Raw genomic sequence first — 25628 nt, forward strand, 5'->3', positions numbered from 1 at the left:
ATAGCCAGAATAAGAACCTCTAGCCTCTCTGAATGGCCTTCCACTCAGAACAATGATGATGATTAATGTCTAAAATGTGTCTGAGGTGCCCGCCTTTGACATTACCAAAATGTTTCCAAGTAATCTTAGAAAATATGATTCTTTAAACATATGCGTAATATTCTACCACACAATGTGCCATCACTTGTTTAATCATTTTCCAATTGTTCATTTGTAACATTTGCAATTTTTCATTATAAATAATATTGTGATGAATACTTTCATCCATAAGTTTTACGCAAGGCTGGTTATTTCTTCTAATGTCTTCTAATGTCAAAGAAGTGGCTTACTGTTTCAAACAGCGCACATTCATGGTTTTAAGGCTTTTAGCATACTTTATCAAATAATCTCCAGAATAGCTCGAACAACTCCTACCAACAGTATGTTATTGTGCCCGTAGGGTGGACTTTGTAACAACAAAGCAAATTGAACCACAAATTTATTAGATTCACACCCATCTCAAAACTGTCACATCAATGAAGCAAGGAGACGTATTACTGGTTAGGAAGCCAAATTCAAATTATTTTTAAAAATCACTCAGCTTTAGATCAGTAAAATAATCAACAAAAATGCTCCACATAAAAAGTCTACCGGGTTTTTCAAAAAATAAAAAGACAAAGAGAGAGTCAGGCCGGGCACAGTGGCTCATGCCTGTAATCCCAGCACTTTGGGAGGCCAAGGTGGGCAAATCACGAGGTCAGGAGTTCGAGACCAGCCTGGCAAACATGATGAAACCCCGTCGCTACTAAAAATACAAAAATTAGCTGGGCGTGGTGGCAGGCGCCTGTAATCCCAGCTACTCAGGAGACTGAGGCAGGAGAATCGCTTGAACCTGGGAGGCGGAGGTGGCAGTGAGCTGAGATCATGCCATTGCACTCGAGCCTGGGCGACAGTGTGAGACTCTGTCTCAAAAAAAAAAAAAAAAAGAGAGAGAGACAAAGAGAAAGTCAGTACCAAATGACCAAATTTTATTTTATTTTTTTAGACAGAGTCTCACTCTGTCACCCAGGTTGGAGTGCAATGGCAGATCTCGGCTCACTGCAACCTCCGCCTCCCAGGTTCCAGCGATTCTCAGGCCTCAGCCTCCTGAGTAGCTGGGACTACAGGTGTGCGCCACCATGCCTGGCTAAATTTTGTATTTTTTTTGGTAGAGACGGGGTTTCACCATATTGGCCAGGCTGGTCTCGAACTCCTGACCTCATGATCCACCCGCCTTGGCCTCCCAAAGTGCTGGGATTACAGGCGTGAGCCACCACGCCCAGCAAATGACCAAAATTTTTTATTTGACTAAATTCTATTCATGCATGAGCATGACAGTCTCCCTGTTTATTTGACTTTGGCAATTAAAAAAACAAGCAACCTTGTACAAAACAGTGAAAATGCCAAGGACGAGGGCAGTCTACAGTTTTACTGTAGAATATATATATATTCTACAGTAAATATATATATATGTATATATAAAGGCCTCTCTCCCTTTGGCCATATCAACTCTCAGTTCAGGCCATTAAATACAGACAAATTTTCAAATTCACTTCTTTACTTCTCCAAGATCTTTGATGCTGTCATCATCTACTTCTGGCCATTTTTCTGAATGACATGAATTATGTCATCTGTAAAGTCTCCCCGAATAATTTCATCCTCCCCATTACTGAGGCAGCACAGGAGAATTTTTGAGCAAAAATCTTTGTGCTTCTTTAAGATCAATTTCAAAAGTTGCAAGGCCACACACTCTTGTCACATGTTTCTTCTTTGCTCTAGGAATTTTGGCCTTAGTAAGCTTTTGTGGTATGGTCTTCTTTTTTTGTTTTATTTGGCCTCTTCCACCTCTCTTCTGTTTTTTCTTCTCCTCTTCTTCCCCTGCTGTTCCTTGACCCTCACTAATTCCAGCTTCTTGTTTGGGTGAATTTTCTACAGTAAATTTTGCAAGTTCATTTAGAAAATTCTTCTCTAACCATTGTTTACAATGAGCAACATCAGGCATATATTCACAGTACTCTGTTGGTAATGAACAGACTCCACAATAAAGGACTCGAAGTGGGTAATTGGCATCTAACTTGGCACTGTTCCTTGGGTCTCCTTTGCAATCAGCCCCACTGGATTCAGAAATCTCAGCTCACTGCAACCTCTGCCTCCGGGCTCAAGCAATCCTCCCACCTCAGCCTCCTAGGACCACAGGCACATGCCACCATGCCTGACTAATTTTTTGTATTTTTGGTAGAGATGGGGTTTCGCCATGTTGCCCAGGCTGGTCTTGAACTCCTGACCTCAAGTGATCTGCCCACCTCAGCCTCCCAAAGTGCTGGGATTACAGGCGTGAGCCCCTGTGCCGGGCCTTCATCTTTTATATTTTTTAAAATTGCAGATAAACTTGAAGCTCCCTTTACTGATTAACTCCAATTCCCACAACTCTTCTATTTATTTCTTTTCCTCTGTACTTTTCTCCTCTCTCCTTTCCTTTTCTGCCTGTTTTATACTCCTCTCTTTAATTTAAAAACCTAGTGAGTTTAACATTTTATGTTTTTAGTTTTTTTTGTTTTAGTTGTCATTGTTGTTGGTTTTTGTTTTTTTGTTTTTTGTTTTTTGTTTTAGACAGGGTCTCACTCTATCACCCAGGCTGGAGTGCAGTGGCATGATCATGGCTCACCACAGCCTCAACCTCCCAGGCTTAGGTGATCCACCTGCCTCATGCTTTCAAGTAGCTGGGACTACAGGCATGAGCCAATGTAGCCCGTTGTGTTTAACATTGTATATGCCTCTCTCCTAAATAGCTATTTTTAGAAAAGACTGATTTAAATTGATATTTGCCTCACATGGTCCTCAATTGAAACAGGTTTCCATCTTATTACGAAAGCTATGATTATTACATTATATGATGCTTTTTTTTTTTTTTTTTTGAGACAGAGTCTCCTTCTGTTGCCCAGGCTGGAGTGCAATGGTGTGATCTCGGCTCACTGCAACCTCCGCCTCCCGGGTTCAAGCGATTCTCCTGCCTCAGCCTCCCGAGTAGCTGGGATTACAGGCACATGCCACCACGCCCAGCTAATTTTTGTATTTTTGTAGAGACGAGGTTTCATCATGTTAGTCAGGCTGTCTTGAACTCCTGACCTCGTGATCCACCCACCTCAGCCTCCCAAAGTGCTAGGACTACAGGCATGAGTCACTGTACCCTGCTGATGCTTTTTCTTATATGACTTTTTTTTTTGAGACATGGTCTCATTCTGTTCCCCAAACTGGAATGCAGTGGCACAAACACAGCTCACTGCAGCCTTGATCTCCTAGACTCAAGTGATCCTCCTGCCTCAGCCTCCCAAGATAGCTGAAACTACCATGCCCAGCTAATTTTTTAAATTTTTGTGGAGATGAGGTCTTGCCGTGTTGCCCAGGCTGGTCTCAAACTCCTGGTCTCAAGCAATCTTCCTGACTCCACCTGCCAAAGTGCTGGGATTACAGGCATGAGCCATGGTGCCCTGTCTTGTATGACTTTTAAATTGCCCCTGAAGGCCGGGCGCAGTGGCACATGCGTGTAATCCCAGCACTTTGGAAGGCCAAGGAGGGCAGATCGCCTGAGATCAAGAGTTCGAGACCAGCCTGGCCAACATGGTGAAACACTGTCGCTACTAAAAATAGAAAAATTAGCCTGGCATGGTGATGGGCGCCTGTAATCCCAGCTACTCAGGAGGCTGAGGCAGAAGAATCGCTTGAACCCGGGAGGTGAAGGTTGCAGTGAGCCAAGATCGCACCACTGCACTCCAGCCTGGTGACAGAGCAAGACTCCATCTAAAAAAAAAAAAATTGCCTCTGAAGGTATGTCTAGAATTCAAAGATATTTTAAGCTACTTGCAGCATTAGAATGAACTTATGACATCTCAATATTACAACTTTGGGGAAAAACATTCTACTGACTGTCTCAATTCTGGTTATATTAGCTAAAAACTAAAACCACTTTTAAGTTATAAAAATCCCATTACTTAGGCCACAGCTCATTTTCAGTCAAAAACATTATTATTCTTACCAGAGTTAGCTGGAAATCATTGTCTATTTTCAGAGGTCAGATTTATTCTCAGAGGGCAAATCCTCACCATAAAAGAAATATTCAGGTCAGGCACGATGGCTCACGCTTGTAATTCCAGCACTTTGGGAGGCCGAGGAGGCAGTGTCTCTTGAGCCCAGGAGTTTGAGACCAGCCTGGGCAACATTGTGAGACCTCACCTCTACTAAAAAAATAATTGGCCTGGTGTGGTGGCTCACACCTGTAGTCTCAGCTCCTTGGGAGGCTGATGTGGGAGGATTGCTTGAGCCCAGGAGGTCAAGGCTGCAGTGAGCTATGGTCTTGCCATTGCCTTCCAGCCTGGGTGACAGAGCAAGGCCCTATCTATAAAAACAGAAAGAAAGAAATATTCAGCAGAATATGTTGTAGCCTCTCTGAAGGGGATGCCACTCATTTGGAATAACAGCAATTCAACGTTCGAAGAGAACTTAAAAATCTAATAATTCATCAGCCTGGGCAACATGGTAAAACCCCATCTCTACCAAAAATACAAAAAAAAAAAAAAAATTAGCCAGGTGTGGTGGCACATGCCTGTAGTCCCAGCTACTAGGGAGGCTGAGGTGGGAGAATTGCTTGAACCCTGAAGGCAGAGGTTACAATGAGCTGAGATGGCACCACTGCACTCCAGCCTGGGTGACAGAGTGAGACCCTGTCTCGAAAAAAAAAAATCTAATAATGCAAATTTTTTCTCATACAGGTGAAGAAAAAGTTATCCATAGAGAGAAAGTAACTTGCCAGAAGTCACACAGGGAGCTAGTGGCAGGGCTGGGACCAGAACCCAGGTTTTTACATGCTGGTTCATTCTTTGACTCCCCAAACGCATTCCCATCCCCCGCCCCCAATCCCCTATCTCCTCGCCTCCACTGAGATATCCGATGCCCAGAGCCCTGGTTAGACAGCTGAAGGTGATGTCTATAAGCAGTCTCATTATTATATGACTTACTGCTGAAACTTTACTGAGTGTAATGTAATGTTTCCCCTAATCCGCAAACTTCTTCATAACCACTGTGTCATATGATCAGTGTCAACTTTCTCAATCTTGTAACCACAGCTGGCTTCATGAGCATGCAGCTTGTGTAGCTGCACCAGGCCTCGTGCTTAAAGGGCCAATGGCTTGGTTTAATGCTCTCCTGTCACCATCTCTTAATTTTTTAACAAGGGGTCCTACATTTCATTTTTCACAGGGCCTGGCAAATTGTGCCTCAACTCTAACACTTCCCCCTCCTCCTTTTGTTAGTTACTTGTCTCTCTTCCCTGCACTGAAAGCCATTTAAAGGTAGGGCATCCGTTATTCACATATGCAGAACATAAAGCAACTTGATTCAGTTTTTCAGGGCCAGAGAACCCATTATGGACCCAGAGAAAGCTATGGACCCTCTCCCCTGAAAAATCACATATGCACAGTGTTTCACAGACAATTTCAAGGTCAAGAATTCCCTCTTGCTCTATCATTTCCCTTTCTTCCCAAGTATATGCTTTTTTCCAAAAGCCTGATCAAAGGAAAGCCTGCCTTCATCTTAACTAACCTGAATGAGTCTGCTGAAGTCTGCAGTTGCTCCTCCATGCTGGGGTCCAGCTGATACTTCTTGATCTGTGTTCACTGTCCTTCACAGGGATGAGCTTTACCAAGAACCCCCAGGTCTCTGGCCATTGGTGCTTGGCAGGGCTGGTGGAAGCCACTATTATGACTAACTGAGCCCAGTCACCTCCCCTCCAATGCCAGCTTGCTGGCTACCCAGACACTCTGGCTGCCTTGACTAGTGCCACTAGCAAAGCCCAGGGCAGGCTGTCAGAGTTGTGCCTCATGAACACCTAGTATGGTCAGCAGCTGACACTGTTCACTGTCTTCAAGAAGACTACTTAAACAAACAAACAAAAAATACTAAAACAATGCTAAAATAAAAATTAAAAGGGGAGCCAGGTGCAGTGGTGCCCCTATAGTCCCAGCTACTTGAGTGGCTGAGGCAGGAGGATCACCTAAGTCCAGGAGTTTCAGGCCAGCCTGGGCAACACAGTGAGATCACATCTCAAAAAAATTAAAAAGGCCGAGCACGGTGGCTCACACCTGTAATCCCAGCACTTTGGGAGGCTGAGGCGGGCGGATCACCTGAGATCAGGAGTTTGAGACCAGCCTGGTCAACATGGTGAAACCCGATCTCTACTAAAAGTACAAAATTAGCCGGGCGTAGTGGTGCATGCCTGTAATCCCAGCTACTCAGGAGGCTGAGATGGGAGAATCGCTTGAACCCGGGAGGTGGAGGTGCCTTTGCCTCTTCTTCCATTCTCATCTCTCACTACACCTCTGTCTCAGTAGGTACTTAGCCATGCCACATGACTGGGAGACTGTAGTCCTTTCCTTTGCTGTGGGGAACAAGGCCTTATCCCTGAAGGATTAAGATACAATACTCTCCCCAGTGCTGTCGCTAAGGGGATGCCTTCAGTGCACACTCAGGACGCTGAGTGTACCCTACTCAGGGATGATCTCAACACTGTTGTCTCTTATATTCCCTCAAGCAGAGATCTTGCACATTAGCATACATGTGTGCACGCACGTCAACAAGACTCCTGGGTTACATCAACCAATTGCACTGGACCTGTACAAACCCTCATTGCTGTTACTACTCATGAGGAACACACTCACTGCTATTAATACAATTGCAGTGGGCTTGTACAAACTTTCCATGACTTTCCATGCCCTCTTTTCCACAACTTAGTCAGATTCAGTCACACTTATGCATTTGTAAATTCTTCAGCTCTTAAGGAAACATAATAAGTGACCCTTATAAATCTTTCTCTGTGTAACTTTTTTTTTTTTTGAGACAGAGTCTCGCTCCGTCGCCCAGGCTGGAGTGCAGTGGCGTGATGTCGGCTCACTGCAACCTCCACCTCCCCGGTTCACACCATTCTCCTGCCTCAGCCTCCCAGGTAGCTGGGACTACAGGTGCCCGCCACCACGCCCGGCTGATTTTTTTTTGTATTTTTTAATAGAGACGGGGTTTTACCGTGTTAGCCAGGATGGTCTTGATCTCCTGACCTCGTGATCCGTCCGCCTCGGCCTCCCAAAGTGCTGGGATTACAGGCATGAGCCACCGCGCCTGACCTTCTCTGTGTAACTATTTAAGCTGCCCAGTGGCACAATGACAGGGAGGCAAGAATTGGAAATGAGGAATTTGCTATGTTCTGAATGTTTATGCCCTCTCAGATTCAGATGTTGAAATCCTCACTGCCAAGGTTATAGTGTAAGGAGGTGGGGCCTTTTGGAGGTGACTAGGTCATGGTGGCAGAGCCCTCATGAATGAGACTAGTGCCTTTACAAAAGAGGCCCAAGGGAAAGCCCTTCCACCTTGTGAGATTAGAGAGATGATGGCTGTCTATGAAGAAATAGGCCCTCACTAGATATCGAATCTGCCTGCACCTTGATCTTGGACTTCCCAGCCTCCAGAACCATGAGAAATAAATTTCCGTTGTTTAGAAACCACCCAGTCTATGATATTTTGTTATAGTCACCTAAACAGACTAAGACAGGATTCATAGAATTAAGGATAGAAGGTAGATTCTTTCATTCATATAACAAATTTTTGTCAAGTTTCCACTCTGTGCCTCAGACTCTATAGTGAGTCATATAGTCCTATCCTCTTATGAAGGGGGCCTGCCCCTCCACACCTGTGGGTATTTCTCATCAGGTGGGACGAGAGACTGAGAAAAGAAATAAGACACAGAGACAAAGTATAGAGAAAGAACAGTGGGCCCAGGAGACCGGTGCTCAGTATACAGAGGACCCGCACTGGTGCCAGTCTCTGAGTTCCCTCAGTATTTATTGATTATTATTTTTACTATTTTAGTGAGGGGAGTGTAGCAGGGCAACAGGTGGGGAGAAGGTCAGCAGGGAAACATGTGAGCAAAGGAATTAGTATCATGAGTAAGTTCAAGGAAAGGTACTGTGCCTGGATGTGCACGTAGGCTAGATTTATGTTTTTCTTTACCCAAACATCTCAGTGTAGCAAAGAGTAACAGAGCAGTATTGTTGTCAGTATATCTCCCCTCTAGCCACAGGGCGGTTTTCTCCTATTTTCTCCTATCTTAGAATAAAATGAATGGGAATGGTCGGCTGTACACTGAGACATTCCATTCCCAGGGAGGAGCAGGAGACAGATGCCTTCCTCTTATCTCAACTGCAAAGAGGCCTCCCTCTTTCACTACTCCCCCTCAGCACAGACCCTTTATGGGTGTCGGGTTGGGGGATGGTAAGGTCTTTCCTTTCCCACGAGGCCATATCTCAGGCTGTCTCAGTGGGGGGAAACCTTGGACAATACCCAGGCTTTCTTGGGCAGAGGTCCCTGCGGACATTGTGTCCAGTGCATTGTGTCCCTGGTTAATCGAGAATGGAGAATGGCGATGACTTTTACCAGGCATACTGCCTGCAAACATGTTAACAAGGCACATCCTGCACAGCCCTAAATCCATTAAACTTTGATTCAATACAGCACATGTTTCTGTGAGCACAGGGTTGGGACTAAAGTTACAGGTTAACAGCATCTCAAAGCAGAAACAATTTTTCTTAGTACAGATCAAAATGGAGTTTTTTATGTCTTCCTTTTCTACATAGACACAGTAACAACCTGATCTCTCTTTCTTTTTTTTTTATTTTTTTTTTAGACGAAGTCTCGCTCTGTTGCCCAGGCTGGAGTGCAGTGGCTCACTCAGCTCACTGCAAGCTCTGCCTCTTGGGTTCACACCATTCTCCTGCCTCAGCCTCCCGAGTAGCTGGGACTACAGGTGTCTGCCACCACGCCCGCCTAATTTTTTTGTATTTTTAGTAGAGACGGGGTTTCACCATGTTAGCCAGGATGGTCTTGATCTCCTGACCTCATGATCCGCCTGCCTCAGCCTCCCAAAGTGCTGGGATTACGGGCGTGAGCCACCGCGCCCAGCCTGATCTCTCTTTCTTTTCCCTACGCTCTTATTTTTATTTTATTTTATTTATTTATTTATTTATTTATTTATTTATTTATTTTTTAGAGACAGAGTCTTGCTCCGTTGCCCAGGCCGGAGTGCAATGGCACAATCTCAGCTCACTGCAACCTCCGCCTCCCGGTTCAAGCGATTCTTCTGCTTCAGCCTCCCAAGTAGCTGGGATTATAGGCATGCACCACCAAGCCTGGCTAATTTTTGTATTTTTAGTAGAGACGGGTTTCACCATGTTGGCCATGCTGGTCTCAAACTCCTGGCCTCAAGTGATGCACCCACCTCAGCTTCCCAAAGTGCTGGGCTTATAGGCGTGAGTGCCGGGCCCTTAAAACTGAGAAAGCTGAGACCTAGGTGGACCTAGGGTCAGGCAGCCATTTAAATGACAGGTTCATCCAAGTGATCTGACTCGTGTGTCTGGATCCTTCTTTTTATCCACCATGCTGAAGAGAAACTCATCTTAAGTCCTAAATACAGATGATGAATTTAAAAGGAGAACTGTCATCAGAGATATCACACATCAAATAACAGTCTTCATCATTGCAGAGTGGAAAGACAGTTGAGAAACCCAGTTACACAGCTACTCATTGCTGTCAGCATTATTGTCCTGTTTTTTTGTTTTGTTTTGTTTCGTTTTTTTTTTGAGACAGAGTCTTACTCTGTCACCCAGCCTGCAGTGCAGTGGCACAATCTTTGCTCACTGCAACCTCTGCCTCCTGGATTCAAGTGATGCTTCTACCTCAGCCTCCCAAGTAGTTGGGATTACAGGCATGCGCCACCACACCCAGCTAATTTTTGTATTTTTAGTAGAGACGAGCTATCACCATGTTGGTCAGGCTGGTCTCGAACTCCTGACCTCAGGTGATCCACCTGCCTTGGCCTCCCAAAGTGCTGGGATTATAGGCGTGAGCCACAGGGCCCGGCCTAGCATTATTGTCCTGTATTAATAGCAGGGAGTGTGTTTCTCTAATGAGTAATAACAGCAACAAGGTCTGTACAGATCCAAAAACGTTTACCTGTAATTGCAAAATCCCAACACCCTGAAAAGTATAAGGTTTTGTTCCCCCTTTGGCAACTCATTTGGCAGCAAAATCTGAACTTACCTGAAGACATTTGGCAACAAAACCCGTCCCGAATTGATGTGAATCAATTCATAGTCTGTATTCATCCTGCCTATTATGAAGATCCATGCCTTTTTGCTATAGAAGCATTAATATTTTCATTATAGGGTTCTCCCAGACCCCTTATATGTGGTTTAACATAATATATGGATGATACTATTTTTCTAACGTTCACAAAGTTCTGAATTCTAAAAAACATCTGACCCCAAGAATCCTAATACAACTAAACATTATGGACCTGTATTACATTTAGAATATACATATCCCTCCAGAATTGAGGTAAGGAATACTGGTCTTTAACTTTCTCCCTATTATACCCAAATAAGATTTACTCCACTGAGACTTTACCAATCCAAGACTCAGTCCAACTGTATGGTTCTACCAGGAGAACTGTTTTGCCGGGGGTTGGTCTGTTTGTCTTAAACTAACCCCTAGGATTCACTTTTCCTGAGTTAGGCTGGGGATTTGACCTGGTGAGATCTCCTGCCTACCCATTGTGCAGTGAATAGTGTTTACATTAGGCTTATGGCTGCTCTGATGGTGAACTGAGCTTGTACCTACATTATGAAGTGTTCAGAGCAAGTGATCACTGTGGACTTTGGCCAGTCCATGGACATCCAGTCCCATGGATATTGGCCTCTGGTCATGAGCTGTCCCACTACCCCTTGGATTTGTGAATATTGAACTGGACTGTTGATTCAGCCCCCTCGTTCTCAATCCTGTTCCTGGGTCTAACTTAATCTTCCCCAAACTCCTGCCACCTTTTTCTTTCTTCCTTTCTTTTCTTTTTTGGTATGATCACAGCTCACTGGAGCCTCAACCTCCCAGGTTCAAGCAATCCTCCCTCCCACCTCACCCTCCCAAGAGGCTGGGACCACAGGTGTGTACTATCACACCTGTGGGTGGCAAGCCACGCAGGTGCCAAGGCAAGAGACCGAGGGCACAAGCTGCTCCAGTATAATAAAGAAAATATATAGAATAAGAATAGTTATACTAGAAATAGATTATAGATGTGATTATATATGAATATCATTAATCATTAGTTTGTAGCATTACTCTTTATTCCAATATTATAATAATCTTTGTTCTACAATTATAACCTAGGAAAAACCAGGCCATACAGAGATAGGAGCTGAAGGGACACGGTGAGCAAGTGACCAGAAGACAAGAGTGTGAGCCCTCTGTTACGCCCGGACAGGGCCACTAGAGGGCTTCCTGGTCTAGCAGTAATGCCAGCACCTGGGAAGGCACCCATTACCTAGTGGACCTTGGTCTAGTGGTAGCATCAGTGCTCGGGAAGGCACCGGTTACTTAGCAGACCGAGAAAGGGAGTCTCCCTTTCCCCGGGGGAGTTAGAGAAGACTCTGCTCCACCACCTCTTGTGGAAGGCCTGACATCAGTCAGGCCCACCCGCAGCCTCCAGAGGCCTGACCATCTCCCTGTGATGCTGTGCTTCAGCGGTCACGCTCCTGGTCCGCTTTCATGTTCCACCCCGTACACCTGGCTCCGCCTTCTAGAGAGTGGTAGCAGAATTAGTAAAAGTACTAAAGTCTTTGAAATGCATAGAAGAAATAATGGCATAAACTGTCCTCTCTCTCCGCCTCGGCTGCCAAACAGGGAAGGGCCTCCTGTCTGGTGGACACGTGACTTGTGTAACCTTATCTATCACTGGAGATGGCTCACACTCCTTACCCTGCCCCCTTGTCTTGTATCCAATAAATAACAGCACAGCCAGGCATTCGGGGCCATTACTGGTCTCTGTGCCTTGGTGGTAGTGGTCCCCCGGACCCAGCTGTATTTTATTCTGTCTCTTTGTCTTGTGTCTTTATTTCTACGATCTCTCGTCTCCACACATGAGGAGAAAAAACCCACAGACCCAGTAGGGCTGGACCCGATAACACCCGGCTAATTTTTTAAAAATTTTTTGTAGAGATGAGGTCTCTCTATGTTGCCAGGCTGGTCTCAAATTCCTAAGATCAAGGAATCCTCCTCCTGTGGCTTCCTCCAGTGCTGGGATTATAGGCGTGAGCCACCATGCCTGGCCTCTTTTTCTAGCTCAGATTTTCCGGCCACTCTCACTTCTTTGTAGAAATTCCCATTACAGTTTTTGGCCCATGAGTATATTATTTATGGTAAGGAAAACCCAAAGACACAAAATAACTACACGTACCGCCTCCTAATTTATAACATGCCTCTTGTAACTTGCCTTAATCGAGCTCATTTGTTTTTGTTTTTGAGATAGAGTCTCACTGTGTTGCCCAGGCTGGGTAACAGTGCAGTGGTACAATCACAGCTCACTGTAGCCTCAACTTCCTGGGGTCAGGTGATTCTCCCACCTCAGCCACCCGAGTAGCTGGGAACACAGTCTTGTGCCGCCACTCCCTGCTAAGAGCCTTTTGTTAATCAGAGCTTCCCACCACATTCCACCACATCTCCATCCTTTACTTTCCTTGTTTTTTAAAGTTGAATTTCTTTCTTTCTTTTTCTTTCTTTCTCTCTCTCTTTCTTTCTCTTTTTTTTTTTTGTTTTTTGTTTTTTGTTTTTTGAGACAGTTTCCCTCTTTCACCCAGGCTGGAGTGAAGTGGTACGATCTCAGCTCACTGCAACTTCCTCCCCCTGGGTTCAGGCGATTCTCCTGCCTCAGCCTCCTGAGTAGGTGGATTTATAGGCATCTACTCAGGAGGCCACCACCTGGTTAATTTTTGTATTTTTAGTAGAAACGGGGTTTCACCATGTTGGCCAGGTCGAACTCCTGACCCCAAGTGATCCATTCGCTTCAGCCTCCCAAAGTGCTGGGATTATAGGCGTGAGCCACCAGCCCAGCCGGGTTGAATTTATTTCTAATTTGCCTTCCTAATTAATACCCATTAAAGCTAGATGCTGTTATTTGAAAAATGGTCTTTTTAGCAACAATCAGAAGCTAAAAATTAAAAACAATATTGCTTTTGGAAGAGATCAATGATACAGAATAAAAATTTTAAATATATATTTAATTTTATGTAACTAAAATATTATCTAGTTTACAAATATTTCATATTTCTATTCCAAATGTTACTGTATTGAATCTTTATGAATTCTAGACAGCATGATATAATAATAAGTTTCAAAACATTATGATAACTATTCATGATGTAATTTTTCCTCTGCCTCCACAATCCAAGTTTACCAGTCCTAGCTCTTGTCTCATTAGGACCCAGTCCTGTACTAAAACAAATCTGAAGTCTGATAAATTAATGAGAAATATTATTGGCACATTAGCCTTTTAATAAAGGTCATCAATATCTTTTCCTGAAGAAATAGTTGGGCTGGGTGCGGTGGCTCACACCTGTAACCCCAGCACTTTGGGAAGCCAAGGCAGGCAGATCACTTGAGGTCAGGAGTTTGAGATCAGCTTGGCCAACATGGTGAAACCTTGTCTCTACAAAAAATACAAAAATTAGCTGGGCGTGGTGGCAAGCACCTGTAGTCCCAGCTACTCAGGAGGCTGAGGCAGGAGAATTGCTTGAATCCGGGAGGCAGAGGTTGCAGTAAGCCAAGATCGCACCACTGCACTCCATCCTGGGCAACAGAGTGAGATTCCATCTTAAAAAAAAAAAGAGAGAAAGAAAGAAAAGAAATAGTTAAGTGCTCCATCGGTTAGTAGATATTGATGGAGCAAACATGATGTTCTTATTCCAATCCATCATGATTCTTACAATCTAGACGGAGTTGGCAAACTTTTTCTGTAAAAGGCCAGATAATAAATATTTTATGCTTTGTGGAACACATAGGGTCTCCGTTGGATATTCTTTTTTTTTTTTTAATAGAATCATTTAAAAATGTAAAAACCATTCTTATCTCCAGACTGGATAAATGCCATATGAAATGTGAGAAGGGCAAATAAGTACTGTAGTCACTCATTTGGGCTTTGATGACCATTAACAAATGATAAGTAAATAAATGTTTGTATAGCAAGCTAAGCACTGCGATCAGTGGGAAAGGACAAGCATCATATGGGGACCAGGAAGTAGCCAAGCTTGGATGGAATTTATTACTTCCTGTGAGAAAATATAAAGCTGGAAATCATGGTGGAGAGCCCCTGTCATTGAGGAGTTAATATCTTAGAAGGGGGATGCCATATATATATATATATACATACTATATATATATATTATATATATTATAAAATATATATAGTATATATATACTATATATAATATATGATATATATAATATATATAGTATATATATAGTGTATATATAATATATGATATATATAATACTATATATAGTATTATATATATAGTGTATATATAATATATGATATATATAATACTATATATATAGTATTATATATATAGTGTATATATATATACACACATACACACAAATGAACAAATATGGCTGAGTGGTGGCTCACTTTGGGAGGCTTAGGTGGGAGGATCACTTGAGCCCAGGAGTTCAAGACCAACCTGGGTAATAGAGTGAGCCTTCATCCCTACAAAAAAAAATTTTTTTTTAAATTAGCCAGGTGTGTTTGCACATGCCTGTAGTGCCAGCTACTCAGGAGGATGAGGTGGGAGGATGGCTTGAGCCTGGGAGGTTGAGACTGCAGTGGCCCAAGATTGTGCCACTGCACTCCAGCCTGGGTGACAGTGAGACTCTGTCTCAAAACAAACAATGACAACAGAAAAAAACTATATGAGCTTGAGTTAGAAAATATAGGCCAGGTGCAGTGGCAGTGGCTGGCGGATCACTTGAGGACAAGAGTTCGAGACCAGCCTGGCCAACATGGTGAAATCCCGTCTTTACTAAAAATACAAAAATTAGCCAGGTGTGGTGGTGGGCACCTGTAATCCCAGCTACTCTGGAGGCTGAGGCACGAGAATCTCTTGAACCTGGGAGGAGGAGGTTGCAGTGAGCCAAGATCGTGCCACTGCACTCCAGCCTAGCTGACAGAGCAAGACTCTGTCTCAAAAAAAATAAAAAGAGTTAGAAAATATAAAATGCTTAGTCTGGCCAATGTGGTAAAATCCTGTCTCTACAAAAAATACAAAAATTAGCCTGGCATAGTGATGGGCACCTGTAGCCCTAGCTACTGGGGCAGGAGACTGAGGCAGGAGAATCACTTGTACCTGGGAGGTGGAGGTTGCAGTGAGCCGAGATTATGCCACTGCACTCTAGCCTGGGCAACAAGAGAGAGACTCCATCTAAAAAAAAAAAAATCCAGCTAGCAAATAAATAAATACATAAATCCAGGGGGCCTATGTCAACAGCTCCATCCTCCTGACACAAACTATACCTGCATTCGTTCTCTCTGGGTTTGGGAATCTAGGATATGAGCCAACATATATGCTTGTCTGAAGGGGCCACTTACCTCTTCATCTTTCTCACTGAGACTTAATTTATTAGCCTTATTCTGTACATCTTAATAAAATCTCTGCTACTGTGAGGCCCTACTGGGGGCCTTTCAACAACTCTGCCCAGGCCTGGGGTCTCCTGGGGCCACAGACATTAAAAAAACACACAGAAGCAGCCAACACACCACCCTCTGGACAGCAGAGACCAGTGCAATGCATTGCTTTTTCTCTTTGCTCCAATCTCCTTCTGTTCCTTGTCTTTCTCTCTTCCTCTTCCCATCTCTCTTCTCTCTTCTTCCCTCATCAATTCCCCTTCCCCATCCTAAGCCTTGCTAATCCTCCAGCTCCACCAGGACACTTGCCTAACAGGGTCACAACACCAGCCCAAAGAAGCACAAAGAAAGCAGGAAGGCCTCTTACCATTACCCCTGACCCACCCACCTGACCACCTTCTCTGTCCCACTCAGGCCTCCTGGGATGGATGTCACCCGCTTACTCCTGGCCACCCTGCTGGTCTTCCTCTGCTTCTTCACTGCCAACAGCCACCTGCCACCTGAGGAGAAGCTCCGAGATGACAGGAGCCTGAGAAGCAACTCCTCTGTGAACCTACTGGATGTCCCTTCTGTCTCTATTGTGGGTAAGTCACCTAGCCTCTGGGCTCTGGCCCAGGAGAGGGGCTGCAGGAGATCAAGCATGCTTCCCAGGGTGCTACCAGGATCCACCGCCATGGTCACGGCTCCTTCTTGCTCGTTCCAGGAAATAATCCTGGGAGAATAAGGTGGCCCTTGACTCATTTGGTTTGGGAAAGCTCTGCATGCCACCAGTCTAATAAGCAGCTTAGCATATGGTAGAGGCTCTGAAAGGCCTGAAGTTAAGACACTTGGTGAACTTTGTTTAATTTAGCATTTCTGAAACTTAATGAATCACAGAACTCCTGTCAACAGTAACAAACTTCAGGAAATGCTCCAGAACATATGCAAGTCTGGGATGGACCAGTCCTGTCATGTCAGGGTTGGGAATGAAGGCTCAGGGGAAAATATGAGGGGCACTGGAGCCTGGCATTGGAGATCTGGTTTGACTTCACCTGATAATAATCATAGACATACTGTGTGGTAGGCACTGTGAGGTGAGTATGGTCTTTATTCATATTTCACAGTTGAGGAACTTGAGGCTTAGGAGAATTAAGTAACTAGCACGGATCACACAGTTTTTAACTGGCAAAGCCAGAATTCAAAATCAGGTACTTAACTCCAGAACCTAAGCTCAAAACTAATATCTCTTACTACCTCGGCTTTTGCTAGGAAACGAGGATATTTGAGGCTGGGTGAGGTGGCTCACACCTGTAATCCCAGCACTTTGGGAAGCTGGAGGCATGAGGATTGTTTGAGCCTAGGAGTTCAAGACCAGACTGAGCGACATAGGGAGACCCCGTCTCTACAGAAAAATTTAAAAACTAGCAAGGCACGTGGCATGCACCTGTAATCCCAGCACTTTCGTAGGCTGAGGCGGGCAGATCTCTTGAGCTCAGGTGTTCAAGACCAGCCTGGTCAACAGGGTGAAACCCCGTCCCTATTAAAAATACAAAAATTAACCAGGCATGGTAGCATGCGCCTGTAGTCCTAGCTACTTGGGAGGCTGAGGCAGGAGGATCACTTGAGCCCAGGAGTTTGAGCCTACAATGAGCCATGATTGTGCCACTGCACTCCAGCCTGAGTGACAGAGTGAGATCCTGTCTCAAAAACAAACAAACAAAAACTAGCCGGGAATGGTGGTGCATGCCTATGGTTCCAGCTATTTGGGAGGCTGAGGCAGGAGGATTGCTTGAGCCCAGGAGGTCGACGCTGCAGTGAGCTATGATCACACCATTGCACTCCAGCCTGGGTGACAGACAGACCCTGACTCAAAAAAGAAATTTTTTAATAAATAAATAATCGGCCAGGCGCGGTGGCTCACACCTCTAATCCCAGCGCTTTGGGAGGCCAAGGTGGGCAGATCACCTGAGGTCAAGAGTTTGAGACCAGCCTGGCCAACATGGCAAAACCCCATCTCTACTAAAAATACAAAAATTAGCCAGGTGTGGTGGTACATGCCTGTAATCCCAGCTACTTGGGAGGCTGAGACAGGAAAATCACTTGAACCCAGGAGGCAGAAGTCACAGTGAGCCGAGATCGCACCACTGTACTCCAGCCTGGGCAACAGAGTGAGACTCTGTCTCAAAAGAAAAAAAAAAGAAGAAGAAGAAAGAAAGAGGATATTCTACACATATCAGACAGGGAAGGGAGGAACATCAACATTTATTGATCTTCAGTGTAACAGACTTTTCACTTTATAAACAGACTTCATTTATCCTCAAGACAATACTGCAAGGCAGATATTATGGAACCTTTTTTGCAGATGAAAAAACTGAGTCTCATGGAGGATAAGTAAGTTACCCACAGCCACATAGTCATTATATTGGCAGAGTCAGGATTCAAATCAGGTCCTCCTGGCTCCAGAGCTCTCAGGAATGGAAAATAGGAAACACAGGTGCATCTGTGTACAAGACAGGAGTCCATTTTCTGGGTATCACAATGTTCCTGTGCCTGCCACAATGGAGATGAAGGAAGGGGCACCTGGGGTGGCTCTGAGTGGCCCAAGCTCACTTAGGTCGAGGGACCAGGCCCCACAAGAGTGTCACAGGCAGATCCCAGTGCCTGCTTGGATTTCCCATTTGCCTTCCCTCAGAGGACACGTTGCTATCAGTGCCTGGCTCCAGGTCAGTAGCCGGGCTAACAAGAACCTACTGGCTTGAGTCCTACAGTGTGACTCATCCAGCACGCTTCTTCTCCTCTCCCTGACCTTGTGACTTCCCAAGCCCCCTCTGCCCCTCTCACTTCACTGCAGCTCAACGTCCCCAGAAACATCTGACTTTGCTCCTTTTGTCTCTCTTTGAAGCGCTGAACAAGAAATCCAAACAGATCGGCAGAAAAGCAGCAGAAAAGAAAAGATCTTCTAAGGTAAGGGCAGGGAAGTTCTGGGAGTTCTCATTGTTGGGGTGAGACTGGACTTAAAGAAGGAGGACCCCCAACCTCTGGCTAGGAACTAAATGAAAGATTTTTCAGGCCTATATTAACAAAAGAAACTGAAAGCTACTAAAGACTTCCTGGCTTGAGCTCTGAGCCAGACACCCACAGAAGCCCAGGGAGCTGAAGTCCACTGAGCAAAATAGGTTACGAAAAGCAGCTTCCTCTACTAGTTAGCCCCTGCCTGAAATTTCACCATCACTCATACTTTTGGATGAATGTGGTGTTTCCCAAACCTCAGTCATTTCAGAACCACATTTATAACTTTGCCATATCTGAGTTCCACCTATTTATTTAACATATTTGTTTAAAATTAAATCTTAGGCCGGATGCGGTGGCTCACGCCTATAATCCCAGCACTTTGGGAGGCCAAGGTGGGTGAATCACCTGAGGTCAGGAGTTCGAGACTAGCCTGGCCAACATGGTGAAACCCCGTCTCTACTAAAAATACAAAAATTAGCCAGGCGTGGTGGTGGGCGCCTGTAATCCCAGCTACTTGGGAGGCTGAGGCAGGAGAATTGCTTGTACCCGGGAGGTGGAGGTTGCAGTGAGCTTGAGCCATTGCACTCCAGCCTGGTGACAAGAGTGAAACTCTGTCTCAAAACAACAACAACAAAAAATTAAAACTTAAAAAATGCAGTTGACTCTTGAACACATGTGTTTGAACTCATGGGTCCACTTATACATTGGTTATTTTATGTCTTTTTTTTTTTTTCTTTTTTTTTGAGATGGAGTTTTCGCTCTCGTTGCCCAGGCCAGAGTTCGGTGGCGTGATCTTGGCTCACTGCAACCTTCACCTGGCGAGTTCAAGCGATTCTCATGCCTCAGCCTCCCGAGTAGCTGGAATTACAGGCACATGCCACCATGCCCAGCTAATGTTTTTGTATTTTTAGTAGAGATGGGGTTTCGCCAAGTTTGTCAGGCTGGTCTCGAACTCCTGACCTCAGGTGATCCACCTGCCTCAGCCTACCAAAGTGCTGGGATTACAGGGGTGAGCCACCTTGCCCAGCTGACTTTTTAAATTGGAAAATATTTTTGAAGATTGACAATTAGAAAAAACAGGTGAATCTTGTTACCTAGAAATATTTAAAAAATGAAAAAAAAGTATGTCATTAATGCATAAAATATATGTAGATACTAGTCTATTTTATCACTTGCTATCATACAATATACATAAATCTATTATAAAAAATTAAAATTTCCCAAAACATATGTACACACAGACAGTACATACCATTCAAAATAGAAAGAAAATAACCAAATGTAAAGATGTAGTACTAAATCATAACTGTGTAAACAACTGCAGTACATACTGTACTACCATCATAATTGTGAAGATACCTCCTGTTGCCATTGCGGCATGCTCAGGTGTTGCGAGTACGTGCTTACAACGCTCTGTGAGCTAATCATCTCTGCACAAGGAGTCTCACCAGGAAATCACATATTGCAGTAAAATGTGATCCCTCAAGGTTCTCGTGTATTTTTCAATGTGTTTAATGCAATATTGTAAACCTTGAGTAGTACCAAGGGACCCATACTAGGTGCTACTAGTGATTCTGGAAGTGTTCCCAAGAAGCAAAGAAGAGTCATGACATTACAAGAAAAAGTTGCTTGAATTACTTGATTGATACTATAGGTTGAGGTCTGAAGCTTTGGTTGCTTACTATTTCAGACAGACAATACATCTTGTAAACAGATGAAGTAAACTTACGGTATCAATAAATACAGTACAGTACTGTAAATGTATTTTCACTTCCTTATATTTTCTTATAATCGATCTCTACTTATCCAATAATTTTCTTAATATTTTATTTTCCCTAGTTTACTTCATTTTTTTTTTTTTTTTTTTTTTTAGAAATGGGGTGTCACTCTGTCACTCAGGCTGGAGTGCAGTGGCACCATCTCGGCTCATTGCAGCCTCAACCTCCCAGGCTCAAGTGATCCTCCTGCCTCAGCCCCACAAGCAGCTAGGACTACGGGTGTGCACCACCATGCCTGGCAGATTTTTGTATTTTCAGTAGAGATGAGGTTTTGCGGTGTTGCCCGGGCTGGTCTCAAACTCCTGAGTTCAGGCAATCCGCTGCTTCTGTCTCCTAAACTGCTGGGATTACCTGCATTAGCCACCATGCCCAGCCAGTTTACTTGATTATAAGAGTACAGTATATAATACATATAACATAAAAAGATGTTAATCCACAGTTTATGTTATCAGTAAGGCTTCCTTCTGGCCAACAGTAGGCTATTAGTAGTTAAGTTTTTGAGGAGTCAAAAATAATATGAGGGCCAGGCACGGTGGCTCACACCTATAATCCCAGCACTTTGGGAGGTTGAGGTTGGCAGATCACTTGAGTCCAGGAATTCAAGACCAGCCTGAGCAACATGATGAAACCTCATCTCTACAAAAAATTTAAAAAATTAACTGGGTGTGGTGGTGTGCTCCTGTAGTCCCAGATACTCAGGAGGCTGAAGTAGGAGAATCGCTTGAGCCTGGGATATCGAGGCTACAGTGACTTGTGATCATACCACTGCACTCCAGCCTGGGCAACAGAATAAGACCCTGTCTCAAAGAAAAAAAGGATTTTTGACTGTGTGTAAAGAGTTTGTGCCCCTAACCCCTGCATTGTTCAAGGGTCAACTGTATATAATTATGATAGAAAACTAGTATCACTTACCATAAATAGAAGGTAACTATAAAAATAAGTAAAGTTGGCCGGGCACAGTGGCTCACACCTGTAATCCCAGCACTTTGGGAGGCCAAGGAGGGTGGATCACCTTAGGTCAGGAATTTAAGACCAGTCTGACCAACATGGTGAAACCCCATCTCTACTAAAAATACAAAAATTAGCTGGGTATGGTGCTGCACGCCTGTAATCCCAGCTACTCAGGAGACTGAGGCAGGAGAATCACTTGAACCTGGAAGGCAGAGGTTGCAGTGAGCCAAGATCACACCACTGCACCCTAGCCTGGGCGACAGAGCAAGACTGTCTCAAAAAAAAACAAAAGCGGAGGGGGGGAAGTTAAAACATTGTTAGTAAATTCTGGGTGAATGGATGGTATTGCCTACCAAAGGCTCTAAATTTGAGGCCTAAATCTCTGTGTTAAAAGGCATAATGGCCAGGCACGGTGGCTCACGCCTATAATCCCAGCACTTTGGGAGGCTGAGGTGGGTGGACCACAAGGTCAGGAGATCAAGACCATCCTGGCTAACACGGAGAAACCCCGTCTCTACTAAAAATACAAAAATTAGCCGGAGGTGGTGGCGGGCGCCTGTAGTCCCAGCTACTTGGGAGGCTGAGGCAGGAGAATGGCGTGAACCCGGGAGGCAGAGTACAGTGAGCCGAGACCGTGCCACTACACTCCAGCCTGGGTGACAGAGCGAGACTCCGTCTCAAAAATAATATAAAATAAAACAAAAAATAAAAGGCAGATTAGGCCAGGCACGGTGGCTCATAACTGTAATCCCAGCACTTCAGGAGGCTGAGGCAGGCAGATCACCTGAGGTTAAGAGTTAGAGACCAGCCTAGCCAACATGGTGAAACCCCGTCTCTACTAAAAATACAAAAATTAGCTGGGCGTGGTGGTGCACGCCTGTAATCCCAGCTACCTGGGAGACTGAGGCAGGAGAATCACTGGAACCCGGGAGATGAAGGTTGCAGTGAGCCGAGATGGCACCACTACACTCCAGCCTGGGTGACACAGCAAGACTCCATCTCAAAAACAAACAAACAAACAAACAAAAAAGGCAGATTATAAAGTGTTAGAAAGGCACTAAGGACACGTTAGCACCAAACTGACCCTTTCAAGTTGAAAAAGATTGAAAAAAGAATCCTTTTTTATTGTATAATTCAGGATCATTTAACATTCACGTACCACCTAAAATCATACCACCATTAACACAGGTTCCCACTTTGGGAAATACTGGACTGAGGCATTGCTGAAATGCACACCTTATTCCTGTCTTAGTGTGCCTCAGTTTATCATATCAACTGTAACCAAAGCAAGGAGCACTGGATTAGGTATTAGGAGGTAGGATCTGGCACTGTGTGATCTTGAAAGTCCCTGCTCTTTTCTAGGCCTATTTTGTTGGCTGTAAAGTGAACAAGCAAGATGAGATTATTGACAGATAAAAATATATAACTGACAAATATATTTATATGCTAAGCACTGGGAACATAGCAGTGAATAAGAAAGATATATCTTATCCTTGGTCTCATGGAGTTTACATTCTTGTGGAGAAAACAGGTGAACAGCAAGTAAATCAATAAATAGGTAAATAAATTCAGATGTTAAAGAGTGCAAAGAAATTACAGCACGGTAATGAGACTGAAGGGAAGAGTGGTCTGGGAAGGCCTCTGTAAGGAAGTAGCATTTAAATAGAGTGAAAAACTCAGTAACCTAGAGCAGCAGCGTCCAATAGAAATACAATGTGAGGCCAGGCGCGGTGGCTCACATCTGTAATCTCAGCACTTTGGGAGGGCGACAAGAGTGAAACTGGCTCTCAAAAAAAAAAAAAAAAAAAAAAAAGAACTGTGATGTGAGCTACATAATTTTAAATTTGCTTATGGCCACTTTATTTATTTATTTTTTTTGAGACAGAGTTTTGCTCTTGTTGCCCAGGCTGGAGTGCAATGGCGCAATCTCCACTCACAGCAACCTCCACCTCCCCGGTTCAAACAATTCTCCTGCCTCAGCCTCCCGGGAGTAGCTGGGATTACAGATGTGCCACCATGCTGGGCTAATTTTTGTATTTTTAGTAGAGACGGGTTTCTCCATGTCGGTCGGGCTGGTCCCAAACTCCCGACCTCAGGTGATCCGCCTGCCTAGGCCTCCCAAAGTGCTGGGATTACAGGCATGAGCCACCACACCCAGTTGATAACCATATTTAAAAAAAAAAAAGGTGCAATTAATTGTAATATTTTATTTAACCTAGTGTATTCAAAATGTTAACATTTCAATATGTGATTAATTTAAAAAGTTATTGAAATAATTTATTTTTGTTGTGCTAAATCTTTGAAATCTGGTGCATAGTTTACAGCACATCTCATTCCAATGCTCAGTTTTGACAAGCATAAAATGTAGTTCTAACTAAAAAGTTGTGTTTAAGAGGAAGAATATTTTTATATTGCTTCAGTTTTACATTTTAAATTTAAATTAATTAAAATTAAATTTGAAAATTCAGTTTCTAGGTTGCACTAGACACATTTCACGTACTCAGTAGCCACAGATGACCAGTGGCTACCTGTATCGAAGGTACAAAAACCAGTGGCTATTTCCTTCCCAGGAAAAGAAGCAGCAAGCTGTGGCAGCAGTGTCCAAGACAGCTCCTGCTGGGTTCCTGCAGCAGGAACTCACCTGCTGCGTTCGGTGCACAGCGGGGCAGCGAAGTTAACAGGGGTCGGAGAGGCAAGCAAGGGCCAAATCTCAAAGGCCAAAAGAAAGTTCATGTTTCATTTTAAGTTCAAAGAGAAACCACTTAGGCCGGGCGCGGTGGCTCACGCCTGTAATGTAAACCCAGCACTTTGGGAGGCCGAGGCAGGCAGATCACTTTAGCTCAAGAGTTTGAGACCAACCTGGACAATAAGTGAGACCCCGTCTATAAAAACATAGAAAATAAAATAAAAATAAATTTAGCCAAGCGTGGTGGTGCGCACATGTGGTCCCAGCTACTTGGGAGGTTGAAGTGGCAGAATCGCCTGAGCCCGAGATCGAGATTGCAGTGAGCCGAGATCGCGCCACTGCAGTCCAGCCTGGCTGACAGAGTGAAACCCTGTCTAAAAAAAAAACAAAAAACAAACAAACAAAAAAAACACAAACTAGGGAGAAGACGACCAGGGCCAGGCAAGAGCCAGGTAAGTCTGGATGGGGATGGAGGTGAGGGAATCTGACTGGGGGAGCGGGCGGTGGGCGGTGGGCAAGCCAGCGGGGAAACCTCTGGTCCGGGATCTCCCTAGCCCGAGGAGCTCCCAGGCAGAGGTGAGGACCGGAGGGGTGGGCGTGGCCGGCTCATAAAGCCCCGGCGTTTCCCACGCAGAAGGAGGCTTCGATGAAGAAAGTGGTGCGGCCCCGGACCCCCCTATCTGCGCCCTGCGTGGCCACCCGCAACAGCTGCAAGCCGCCGGCACCCGCCTGCTGCGACCCGTGCGCCTCCTGCCAGTGCCGCTTCTTCCGCAGCGCCTGCTCCTGCCGCGTGCTCAGCCTCAACTGCTGAGCGCCCCCACTCCCGGCCGCGAGCAGGCAGGGCTTCGGGGACGCGGGGCGCTTCTCGGGCGGGTGATCCCTAACAGGGCGGCTTCCCAGGGCTGCAGGCGGGCGGAGGTTCCAGGAGATGGGACTTCAGGGAGACCTGGCTTGGGCTAAAATCGAAATACAATATATATAGGCTGCTCGAAGGTGTGCGGCTGTTTCTGTAAAGGTCCCGAAAGTTCTCGGTCCCTTCGCCACGGAGTCCCGCGCTGCTCTCCCGGGGCTCAGGAAACCCGGGCGTCCCAGCCTCACAGCTGCACTCCCAGTCACCGCTGCTGCCGACCTGGGGGTTAGGAACGAGGCTATCCCCTGCCTTTAAACCTGGGAACACCCGAGGCTGCCTCCAAAACCAGGAAATTCAGACCAGCCAGGAAGAAAGGAACAGCCTTTCAGTCTCACACATTTCCTCCTAGGTGCTCCCCTCTCCCCAGGGGAAAAAAAAAACGGAAAGAAAGAAAGAGGCCAAGCGCGGTGGCTCACGCCTGTAATCCCAGCACTTTGGGAGGCCGAGGCGGGCGGATCTCCTGAGGTCTGGAGATCGAGACCATCCTGACCAATATGGAGAAACCCCGTCTCTACAAAAAATATAAAATTATTTGGGTGTGGTGGCGCATGCGGTAAATCTCAGCTACTTGGGAGGCTGAGGCAGGAGAATCGCTTGAACCCGGGAGGCGGAGGTTGCAGTGAGCTGAGATCACGCCGTTGCACTCCAGCCTGGGCAACAAGAGCGAGAAACTCTGTCTTAAAAAAAAAAAAAAAAAAAAAAAAAAAAAAAAACAAGAAAAAAGAAAGAAATCCGAGGCTGGACGAT

General features: G+C 45.0%; 2 protein-coding genes and 1 pseudogene across 5 annotated transcripts in view, besides 1 other annotated feature; 1 reads left to right on the forward strand and 2 right to left on the reverse strand.

Annotated features, from left to right (window-relative positions):
- ASIP (agouti signaling protein) overlaps nucleotides 1-24959 on the forward strand; it is an 82852-nt gene extending 57893 nt beyond the window's left edge. For all 4 annotated transcript variants that reach the window (XM_011528821.1, NM_001385218.1, XM_011528820.2 and 1 more), the window contains 3 exons: nucleotides 15980-16149; nucleotides 18447-18508; nucleotides 24606-24959. In XM_011528821.1, the coding sequence (XP_011527123.1) occupies nucleotides 15990-16149; nucleotides 18447-18508; nucleotides 24606-24782 (399 nt within the window). In that variant the 5' untranslated portion in view covers nucleotides 15980-15989 and the 3' untranslated portion in view covers nucleotides 24783-24959. The remainder of the gene's footprint in view (nucleotides 1-15979; nucleotides 16150-18446; nucleotides 18509-24605) is intronic.
- Nucleotides 1-25628, reverse strand: part of AHCY (adenosylhomocysteinase) — a 79856-nt gene that overhangs the window by 12405 nt on the left and 41823 nt on the right. The gene's annotated exons all lie outside the window — the stretch shown is intronic.
- On the reverse strand, nucleotides 1376-2152 carry DENRP1 (DENR pseudogene 1; annotated as a pseudogene).
- Nucleotides 11504-11683: an enhancer, noted in NCBI's record as "active region_17758". NCBI's record gives its function as "activates an Ori minimal core promoter by ATAC-STARR-seq in GM12878 lymphoblastoid cells {active_cell/tissue: GM12878}" and the evidence as "EXISTENCE:reporter gene assay evidence [ECO:0000049][PMID:35858748]".

The sequence above is a fragment of the Homo sapiens genome, chromosome 20, assembly GCF_000001405.40.
Source record: "Homo sapiens chromosome 20, GRCh38.p14 Primary Assembly".
Taxonomy (NCBI): Eukaryota; Metazoa; Chordata; class Mammalia; order Primates; family Hominidae; genus Homo; species Homo sapiens.